The following is a 12,008-nucleotide window of genomic DNA, read 5'->3' on the forward strand; positions in this document are numbered from 1 at the left end:
GATAAGCAGCCCTTTCTCTGATCCCTGCTTATAGAAATTAGAAAACAGTTTGTGCAAATCAGCATTTACAGGCAAAGAGAGCTTTCCATGAGAAAGAAGAAAAAGATTCGAAGCAGCCAAGCCAAAAGGCTCTGAGTAGGAAACCTGGGTAGGCCCCAGTAATAAATACATTTATTGCGTGGACAGTAAAAAGTACTGGAGAGTTTAAAATAAATTCAGAGTTATTTAAACTTAATTTATGACCAGGAAAATAAACCCTCTCTTTCACCATTAATGTTTTCTATCTGGGCCATCAAATGTCACACGCTACTGATTTTGGATGTAAGGTCACTGGAAACAACATATCAAAGGTGTCAGCACAACAAATCAAGTGAAATTCCCTTAAAAATAAAAATGTCAGGAGTAAAATAATAGGCAATAGTTATTTCATGCTATTAAAGACTTGTCATATATCAAAGGGTTCACCTTTTTCTACCTTTATGATGTATCACTTTGAACACTGAATATACTTCTGCTTAACAGATAAAGTAAAGAAAACAAGCATCGGAATGCTGATGATAATAAGAATGATGACATATAATAAGACTATCTGGAGGCGCATAAACATTAGCAGGCAGACTGCTGAATATATCAAAAGACAAACAGTGGTCCTGCATATACGAAGATTGGCTGTCTAGCATGTCATTTATTTCAAGAGAGCATCTTAAAGGTCACCTAAAACGGTGTCTCTGAAATCAGAATACAAATTACATTGGGTTTTGGATAAGGAAAATAATGAATGTTTAGGACTTGCCAAGCTAATGTAGTTCCACACAGAAGTTCAAATTCAGAAGCAATCCTCTGGTCTTTTATCCAAGGATTGAATAAAACAGAAGCAAGTGCCAATCTTCGGGGAGAAGAGGAAAGATAAGGGAGACTTGGAGCAGCGGGTTCTTTATGATCCTGAAGTCATGCAACTGACAGGCAGTGGCATTTGCCATAATGCCTTGTTGCTAAATGCATTAACTCCTGGCAGAGTAAATTCACCCAGGATTAGGCTTTATGCAAAAGCATCTGACTGAAAGGGTTATCAAAGCCTCAGGTTAAAAAAAAATGATGACTTTGTTTCATCCTTGTGACATATCTTACAATGATTTTCTAGGACATTAAAGGTAAAATCTTGCTTCCTGATTCAAGGGCTCATAATCCGGTGGACGAAATGGCTCCAGGGAAGGATAAAGGAGTATAGAGCCATTCACATAGAAGTGTAAATTTCGCCCCAAGATGGTAGTGAGCAGTTAGAGAAAAGCCATAATACTTTAGTTTAAGCCTCCCAAAGTCCTTTTATCATTGGAGGTAGGGTGGGTGGGCAGGGAGGCTGCTTCCCAATCGGCAGGTAGTACGAGGCAGGCAGGCAGGAGATGGGCCAGCATCATCACTCTTTAAGTTTCCCCCAGGGCCCTAGCCCTGATGCTTTTCCTTCCAGAAGGGAGAAGGATGGTTGATTGCATCATGAAGTATTCTTCTTGTCTGTGGTGGCTGTAGGATTTCATCATTAAATTATACACAAAAGACTTGAAAACCTAACTCTCTTCATTTGATAGAGGAGGAAACTGAGGCCCAAACCCAGGAGGGAAGAAGGAAGCCTCTGCTGTGGCCCCTGACTCTAGCCAGGCCACTTGAGTGAAGGTCACACACACCCCAATGTGTGTGAAGCAGCAGTTCTAACTGGAAGGCAGGTTCCTGGAAATCATTTCCAACCTGCCCTTGACTTGGCATGTGTGTGACTCCTAGGAAGTCCCTGAATTCTCTGCACTTCAGTTTCCCCATGAAGCTGGTTGATCTCTGCTCCCATAAACCTTTCAGAATATCTCTATAAGACTTGGGTATCTTAGAAGAAGACTCCATAAGAATAGCCCTATATAAGCCAGTGGTTAAGAAATCAGACTAAGTTTAAGTCCGGCTCTGCCATATATTCACCACAAGATGCTATGACTTTCTAAATCCTGGTTTCTGGGTTTCCGTCTCTACACAGCAGGGATAGTAGTAATAATTCTTATCTGGCTTGGTGTTGTGGGGATGCAACGGAAAGCTCTCAGCACAGTGCCAGGCATAGGATGGGGGGGGGCACAAAGTGTGCATTTATCAAACAGAGGCCCCAAAGTCCCTCAAAGCAGAGCCTCAGGGGCCCTGCCCACCATGATCCTGTCACCAAGAGCCTCAGCCTTCACCTGCAGACACCAGACCTGCATTCACCATGAGTGTGGGGCTGAGTGGCATGATCTGGGGAGTGCAGACCACATTACAGTGTAGGGCTTTTCTACCCTAGTCTGTTGTCCGTTAGCAATCCGCCCAAATGATGGGTGGCTCCTCTGGTCAAGATGGGGCTCCATTCAGGCTCACATTGTGAGAGACAAGAGCCTCAATGCCAGCCAACACCCTATTTATTTGTGGATTTGGCTTATTGGAGACAAATGATGCTGAGGCAGTTCTATGGTCATCAAATGAATTATTTATACATCTGATTAAATTGTTTTACTGGAGGACTCAACCCTGGTTAACTCTTGCATTTCCAGCTTGGTGTGTAGAAATTCCACTGAGCACTTTCTACATTTTACTTTGGGGTCTCACCTTGAAAATTAATGGCCATTAGGACTACATGTCAAGATGTCCATACTCAAGGCTTCGTACAGGAAAAAAACCAAAACCAAACTTAGTTTTGAGAAAAAAACCATCAGTTTCTACAAAATGCTTATTGAAGAACCTGTGTTTTTGGACCAGTTAGACCTTTCAAAGTCTAGAGGGAGAGATATTTAAAATCAAATGTGATGATACAAAATGTTTATCCATTTTCCCTAAGTTTAAGGGGAGCTTGCTCTTCCTTTAGGCACACAAAATAATTGCTAAGCCTGCCTTATCCTATTATTTGTAAATTCAATATAATTAGAGACTTACTCAGTTCATTACTAGCTTGAGTTTTTGCCCAGCTTTTTCTCACCCTCTTGCCTTTTCAAAACACTTTATTAAGAACTTGTTTTAGTGTCACATTCTTTAAGGGAAAATAACTCCCAAGTACATTTGACAGGAAGTGCTCAAAATTCAAGACAGTGCCAGAAACTAATAATCTCAAATCACAGAACTTACATGGGAAGGTCCCATATACTGTTGCAAACAGCGTGGGTGGGTTCCACCTGCAAATTGAAATTCACATGTTCTAATAGAGAGTTTTACTGGAGAAATTGTCACCAGGTCCTGCAGTTGAAAAAACGGCGTTCTTATTCTATTGACTATAATGCAAGTTAGCCCCTAAATATCCTTTTCCCTCTGAAGAACTCCAAATGCTTTGCCATTGTCAGCCTTCTGAGCTGACATTCATTAGTCCTATCCTATGAAGTGTGAAGTGTGGATAGGCAATGGTTTCCAGGCCAGCCCCTTGAGATGAGGAGTTTTGACCTTGTGGCTGCATTAGTCATGGGCAGAGGGAATTCCAAGGGAGAACACCTGGTGAGAGGCCTGAGGATGAGTCCAAGTTGAAACCTGACACCCAGAAGTGGGTCACTAGACTTCATTGCTTGTGTGTTAAATGGCCAGGAAGACTAAGAGCTTGAGCAAATGAGCCTGTGGGTACACATGACACACAGCATCAGTGGTTTTCCAAGGCTAGCTCCTCAGAGAGCACAGAAGCAAAGTAGGCAGGCCCTCATGGAATGAAGAGCAAGGAGCAGGAATCTGGCCTTTTGAAGGAGAGATATTCATGATATTGATGGAAACGAGAGAGCCTCTCCAGGTAGCCTTGTTACCTATGAGCTGAGTACCTTCCAGGAGGAAAAGCACAGCTGATATCACAGTCCTGACAGGGCCATTCCTGGGGACTCATTTCTTAAATCTGCTGTCATTTTAAATGGAACACTCTGGAAGGGAGTGCTTCAAATAGCTTATTTTTAAAACTACCCATATGGATCAAAGCATAAACATTTGCCTCCTGGAATCTAGGAAGTGTTTTTCTGATTGATGTTACACAAGCCTGGTCCACAGCATGTGGATTTGGGGATGTCAGTACCTCAGCGTCCCATCTCCTTGGCATTTTAGCACTGAGGTATGAGAATGGTGATGTTCTAGTCACCAGGGAGAGAAATTGAGGCTGAGATGTGTGGCTGGTCACTGTCCTAATTTCAAATGAAATTTAGAAATTTGAGCCACACAGACTAGTTTTCCCTTCTAAGATCCAGGGCTTTTACTTGGCTAGAAAGGGAGGGGTTGCTCAAGAAGAAATAAGCATTTCCTCATTCTTCTTATGAACTCCATCAGTGGAAGGTACCAGACCCAGTACCCAGTGAAATATTCTGACCAGAACAATGCATTTTATTTTCTATAATAAATGTAAATTCTAACATCATCTTCAATTTCAGAGATCTCTAACCTCATGAGTATGCAAATAACCAAAAGTAGAGTCTAGTTGATAATTACTCTACAGGAACAGACGCATTTGGTACAAATAAGAAGAGTTGAAAACCTGAGTGTATTTCCACTTCTGCAAACCTTTTGGCTTAATTTGCAAAATTAGTAGAAGAAAGAGCCAAACTGTTTAAAAACAACAACTCAGTTCAACTTATTTTTTAAAAAATTGATTTCATTTACATTAGTCCCCCAAAATTTTGAAATACTTAGATATAACTCTAACCAAGTATGTGCAAGATCTACATGCGAGGAACTAGAAAACTGATGAAAGATACCGAAGAAGGTCTAAATAAATGGAGAGGTATTTTATGTTCATGGGTAGGATGACTCAGTATTCTTAAGATTTACGTTCTTCCCAGCTGAATCTTTAGATTAAACTCGATTCCAATCAAAATTTCAGCAAATTACTTGTGAATATTGACAAGATGATTCTAAACTTTAAATGGAGGAGCAAAAGACTCAGAATAGCCAATACAGTATTAAAATTCATAATTCTGGCAGTTATGAATAAAGCTGCTATAAACATCCATGTGCAGGTTTATTCATAATTGAATAAGCTAAACAAAGCTAAACATAGACAACTTGAATTGTTTGTTTTCTTATTGTTGAGCTTTAAGTATTCTTTGTATATATTTTGGATATAAGCCCTTTGTCAGATGTGTATTTTGTAAAGGTTTTCTCCCAGCCTGTGGCTTGTCTTTTCATTCTCTTTATAGTGTCTTTCAAAGGGCAGAACTTTAAATTTTTGATGAAGTCCAGCTCATCAAGTTTTCCTTTCATGTTTTTAGTATCGTATCTAAAAACTCACTGCCAAACCTAAGGTCACCCAGATTTTTTTCTCCTGTTATTTTCTAGAACTTTTACTTTCTAGTGTATTTACTAATACACAGAGGACAGACACTCCCTGATTTCAGGACTTACTAAAAAGCTACAATAATCAAGACAGTGTGGTATTGATGAAAGAACAGACAAGTAAATGAAAAGAACAGAATAGCAAGCCCAGAAATAAACCCACACAAATATAGTCAATTGCTCCTTTTAACAAAGGACCAAAGGCAATACGATGGAGCCAAGACAGTCTTTACAACAAATTGTGCAGGAACAACTGGACATGGACATGCAGAAAAAATGAATCTAGGCACAAACCTTACACTCTTTGCAAAAAATTAACTCATAAACCTAAATGGATCACAGACCTAAATGTAAAATGCAAAACTATAAAATTTCTAGAAGATAACATAGAAGAAAAAATCTAGGTGACCTTAGGTTTAGCAGTGAGTTTTAGATACGATACTAAAAGCATGATCCATGAAAGAAAAACTTGATGAGCTGGACTTCATCAAAAATTTAAAAGTTCTGCTTTTTGAAAGACACTGTAAAGAGAATGAAAAGACAAGCCACAGACTGGGAGAAAATCTTTACAAAATACACGTCTAATAAAAGGCTTATATCCAAAATATATACAAAGAATACTTAAAGCTCAACAATAAGAAAACAAACACTTCAATTAAAAAGTGGGAAAAAGATCTGAACAGATACCTCACCAAAGAAGATACACGGGTGTCAAGTAAGCATATGAAGAGATGCTCACTATCACATGTCATTAGAAAACTGCAAATTACAACAACAATGAGATACATTACACATCTACTGGAAACCAAACACTGGCAACACCAAATGCTGGCAAGGATGTGGAACAGTGAGTACTCTTATTCACTGCTGAGGGGAATGAAAAATGGTACAGCCACTTAGGAGAGTTTGGCAGTTTTTTACAAAGCGAAATATAGTCTTAACTATATGATCCAGCAATGGCACCCCTTGGCATTTACTCATGTGAGTTGAAAACTTATGTCTACACAAAAACCTGCACATGGGGAACAGAAGGCCAAATACTGTACGTTCTCACTTGTAAGTGGGAGCTGAATGATGAGAGAACACAGGGACACATGGAGCGGGGAACAACACACTGGGCCTGTTGGAGGGTGGGGGTGGGAGGAGGGAGAGCATCAGGGAGAAGAGCTAATGGATGCAGGCTTGATACCTAGGTGATGGGATGATCTGTGAAGCAAACCACCATGGCACACGTTTACCTGTGTAACAAACCTGCACATCCTGCTTATGTACCCCCAAACTTAAAAGTTGGAAATTTTTTTAAAAAACTAAACATGGCATTTATAGAGCTTTATTCATAATTGCCAGAAATTAGAAGCAACCAAGATGTCCCTTAGTAGGTAAATGAATAAATAAACTGGTACACCTAGATAATGGAATATTATCAGCTATTAAAAGAAATGAGCTATCAAGCCATGAAAAGATATGGAGGGACCTTAAATGTATATGGCTAAATGAAAGAAGCCAGTTCAAAAAGGCTGCCCACTATATAATTTAATTATATGACATTCTGGAAAAGGCAAAACTATGAGCCAACAAAGATCAGTGGTTGCCAGGGGTTGGAGGGGCAGGGAAGGAGTGAGCATGTGAAGCACACGAGGTAGATACTGAAGACAGCAAAACTATTCTGTGTAACACTGTAATGGTGGATACATGACATTATGCATTTGTCAGAGCTCAGAGAATGTGCAAAACCAAGAGTGAACCTTAACACAAACTACGGACTTAACAATGAGGTATCAATATTGGTTTATCACTTATAACAAAATACCACACGAGTGCAAGATATTAATAATAGGATAAACTGTGTGCAAGGGGAGATGGAGTATCAAGGTATTCTATGCTTTATTGTCAATTTTTCTGTAAACCTAAAACTGCTCTTAAAAATAAACAGTATTTTTTTTTTAAGAAAATTGACTTGGTGAAGACTTGTTTGATCAGATGATTCCAATTATTCAAAGCAATTCATTTTGCCTTGTTCTATAGATATTGGTCAGTGGCAAGTTTCCCATAAGAAGTGATTTATTGGTCTTCCATTGGGTCTGAACAATGCACACACGATAGTTTTAAATAGTAGACAATCAATACTGTGATGCCTAATCTATGGATGAAAAAATTAAGTTTACAAAGAAAGATGAGACATAAAGCAGTGGCTAGAGTTCGGGCCTCCTGATCACTGGAACTACAATACTTAATTGATTCGATGGTTCTGACACGCATGAGGGGACAGTCATTTTAGAAATATGAACAGAGATATGACTACATATTAAAAGAGGACTGTAGCTGCCGGTTCTGCCACTTGGGCAACTCATGCTGTCTCTGGAATCACTGGAAAGGCTGATGAACTTATCTCGTGGGCCACTGCCTCAGTCACACCCGGTCCCACAAACAACTCAGTCACAGGTGAAGGACCTTACCTTGAGGAAGGTGCATACCTGGTATGAAAAGCCTCTAGTCCTTTGGGGCTATCATTCTTTTATGAATCAAAAGACTATTGGATTTATTCAAATCATAGCAGTACTCAAAGAAAAAGTACAATTTCTCTCTCTTTATATCTAGAGACAGAGAAAGAGAGAGAGAGAAAGAGATGTGAGTGTGGGCACAGTCAAAGAGAGACAGGGAGGAAGGATGCACGTTTTCTAAACCAGAGCTGCTGATTTTAAATCTTCTATCAGTCAGGATGGGTCAGCTTGTGCTGCAACAATAAATAAAAATTTCAGGAGTGAAAAATAGTAAAGATTTGCTTCCCCCTCACCCTATATGGTATTCTCATGGGAGGGGAGGATTCCACTCCATTTTATTCCAGCATGATGGAGCCCCACCGTTTGGAATGTCGCCAGTCACCAGAGCAGAGAAACGGAAGGTGTGAATCATGCACCTGCTCTCAAAGACTTCCACAGGGAGGTGGCCCTCGTCATCCATGCCACATGGATCCATGCCACATGCTCACATGCCATTGGCCAAAGCAACCTCATGGCATGTCTGACTTGAGGGGATGGGGAAGCAAAATCCTACCATGTGCGTAGGAGAAGGGGAAGGGAGGGACCCGTGAGTGGCACTCATGACTACTCTTTAGATACCTTTATCAAAGCTCTTTTTTGATGTTACACAAAATGGATTTTGTTGGGGGATGAAGTGGAGGAAGAAGGGCAAATACAATGAAATTGAATTGATATTCTATTTCCTTGGGCACAGCTGAAATAGGGGCTAGGCCAAAGCTTGCCTTGGTTTAGAAAATTATAGATAATGCAAATTAGTATTCAAAATGTAATTTAGTGAAAGTTTCAAATAAGACTTGTGAGTTCTTTAGAAAAATGGTCAGTGCCCATTGGCCAAACTGAACCTTGTGCTAGCAGAGCACAGTTGAACCCCTCATGAATTAGTTCATTCCACAGTATTCCATGGCCAAAATTACACCCTTAATTCTAGGTGGCCTTCTGAGAGAGTAATGGGCTGATCAAAAAAAAGAGGGTCCTTTAAGAGATACAGGTAAAAAAAACATCAGGAAACAAGACTCAGCACACATGACTTATATGAGGAAAAGCAGGAGCTTTCGCTTTACAAGCAATCAGTCATGATTGATCATCGTCATCATCACTGATGTGCAAACATACAGCTGGCCTTTTAAAATGAGGCTTACTTAGTCATTAAAACAGGACTCCAACCTGTCCAGCCTTTGAATCTCACCAAAGTCAAATAAGAGAACAAATAAACTCATTTATTTAATAAATATTTATTAAGCAGCTACTATGTGCCTGTCACTGTCCTAGGGAACAAATGTAAATTCCTGCCCTGAAAGAATGAATAAAAAATTTTCATCTTAGGTTAACTTAAAAGCTATGATTGCAGTTATCAATTTTTAATCTTATAACCCAAATTTTCCATTTGTATATTAGATAAAATAACTGTTTCGGGCCTTGGGAAATCTGGGTCAGAGCTCTGCATCCAGGCATCAGGGCTGTGCACAGCAGTCCCTGTCGGTCAGAGCGGCTCTTTCCGCCCTGGAGGCACAGCAGGATCCGGAGGACAGGATGGATGGGACACAGAGGGAGGAGGAGAATCCACCTCCTTGGTCTTCTGCTGGCTTCCTGTACGACACCAGGACAGGCTCTGTGCTGAATTTCTCTATCAGCAAAATGAGAGCAGCATTTCTTGCTCCTGTTCCCACTCCTCCCAGGGTGTGTCATGGATTAATTACCCATGATCTAGAAAGTACTCTAAGTGCCTCATAGAAAGGAGGGGTTTCAAATGCAATGTTCCGCTTTAAGTGCCGCTAAAGAACCAGGGCATGGTTTCGGTGCCTGGCTTCCCAAGGAAGGATCTGTATATCCAGCAAGCCAGCTCAATTTCCCTCAATGCTCCTTTATTGAGGGACTTGCTGTCAGACGAATTTGGAGATGCGAAGACAAAAACAGTTCCTGTCCTCAAACATCTGGCAATCTGATGGGGAAGTGGCCATGGGCTGATTGAACTAAGTGTGCTCAACAGGGTTTGTGCTGGACAGTGACTCAGTTGTAGAGTTGTGTGTGAGAGAAAGGAATACCTGAGACTGGGGCCAGATATGACAGGCAAAGCACTGGGTTTGGAGTTCAAAACCCAGCTCCGTCACTGTGTCGAGTTTCTCATACAGCCTGGCAAGTTGTAGGTATTTATTAAATATCTGTTGAATGAATGACTGAATAGACTGTTCCCCGTACTGGTAAACTGGGTCATTTTTCCCTTGTGCAAAATAGGATTGTAATGCCCATCTCTCAGGGTTGTGGTGAAGACTCCATGGGAAAATGCATCTGGAAATACCCAACTAATCGCTGATACCAGCACTCAGTAAAAGTCTGCTTGGGAGCAAGGTCCTTCGAGGTGTCAGGAAGGCATGGAGATGGGGATAAGTAGGACTGTGGGGGCCAAGGTGTTTGGGTGGGGTGGGGATGTAATTGCCAGGGGAAAGAGTTGCGAGCAGCCACATGTAGGAGCCAGCTGGAGGGAGGGGGCCAACCAGGCACATCTGGGATGTGCTAGGCACATGGCAGCTGGAGGACATGGCCACATGGCCCCTCTTCCCTGAGAACAGAAGGTATTGGCACAGATGCTCTTAAATGTGACCTTCCTCTGATGCCACCGCCTCTAATATCCAGACCACCATGACCTCATTCACTTGGACACAGCCTCTTCTTTGAGTCTCCCTTACATCCCATGGTCAGTGAGCTCTCAAGAACTGGGGGTTCTACTCTCAGAAGAACTCTCCTAGGTCCTCTGTTGCCCCCCGTTCCATCACCAGGAATGCTCGCTGCCCTCCTGGCGTTACCTGGTCTCCTTGCTGTCAAGTGCAGCCCGGTGTGATGTTATCTTTGCTGGAGGCTGCCTTGGTCAAGCACTCCTGGGCTCACTCCTCTCCCCTTACCTGACCCCTCTTCTCCTCCTCATTGTGGCCTCCTGGGTGTTGTCCTGTGTGAATCCCACAGCCACACCTCGGCAAACTGTGGGATTATTTTGTATGTTCCCATAACATCTAACACAGGCTTGGCACACTGTATGCTTCAATCAATATGCATGTTTTCAATGAAGGAATCAGTCCCCATCCACCCTGTCCACATCTGAGCAATGTTACTATTTTTCCTGATAAGAACACAGGCCTTGGAAAGCACCTTGTACATTGCAAAGTGATGTTACTTCTACAATCTCTTTTGCTCCCAAAACCAACTCCACAGAGAGTTACAGAACTTTAGGAAAGTGATGTGATTTGCCCAAAGCCAACAGATACGAGGGTGGGATTGAAATCCCAGTTTCAGCATCACAGGCACCATTTCTCCCACCACACAGGCTGCCTGCTGAGAAATTACAAACCTTAAGTCACAGCGGCCCCCAGCTCTACCCCCAATCACCCCTGTTGGCCTCTGCTTTGACATAATAATCAGGGTCCCCATCAATTACCATCTTACCCCAAATTCTGAGGAAATGCCTGTCTCCCCATCAGAAGCCCTCAGTGGGACATCTCTCTTCCTCTGACAAGCTTGGCCACCCCAAAGGGCGCCCCTGTGGCTCCTGCTCCCTCTACACAATCAGTCCAGTCCCTTTCCCCCAACTCTACTCTCTTCATCCTAAACTGTTGCCCTGAACTGTTCTCAGCTCCATGCATTTACTCCTTGCCTTAAAGGAAAAAAAACCCCAACACTTCTCCCAAATCGAGTTTGCCATTAGACACCCTCAATAAGTAGCTCATTAAAGAAGAAAGGGAGGGACATTCTGCTCTTTGCTGTACAAGACTGGAAAGGGCATGGAGTTGGGAATTGAGAATGCTGGTGATGTCATTTGGATATTTGTCCCCACCCAAATCTCAGGTTGAGTAATCCCCAGTGTGTATGTGGGGCCTGGTGGGAGGTGTTTGGTCATGGGGGCGGATCTCTCATGGCTTGGTGCTGTCTTCATGATAGTGAGTGAGTTCTCGTGAGATATGGTTGTTTAAGAGTGTGGCACCTTCCCCCTACCCCGCTCCTGCTCTGCTATGTGAACTGCCTGCTCCCACTTCGCCTTCCGCCATGACTAAAAGGTCCCTGAGGCCCCCCTAGAAGCAGATGCCACCATGCCTCCTGTACAGCCTGAAGAACCATGAGCCAATTAAACCTCTTTTCTTAGAAATTACCCAGTCTCTGGTATTTCTTTATAGCAATGCAAAAATGGCCTAA

General features: G+C 42.1%; 1 long non-coding RNA gene across 1 annotated transcript in view; it reads right to left on the minus strand.

Annotated features, from left to right (window-relative positions):
• The window catches only part of LOC101928077 (uncharacterized), a 37,861-nt gene that overhangs the window by 14,778 nt on the left and 11,075 nt on the right, over window positions 1-12,008 (minus strand). The window lies entirely within an intron of this gene.

The sequence above is a fragment of the Homo sapiens genome, chromosome 7 (assembly GCF_000001405.40).
Source record: "Homo sapiens chromosome 7, GRCh38.p14 Primary Assembly".
NCBI lineage: Eukaryota > Metazoa > Chordata > Mammalia > Primates > Hominidae > Homo > Homo sapiens.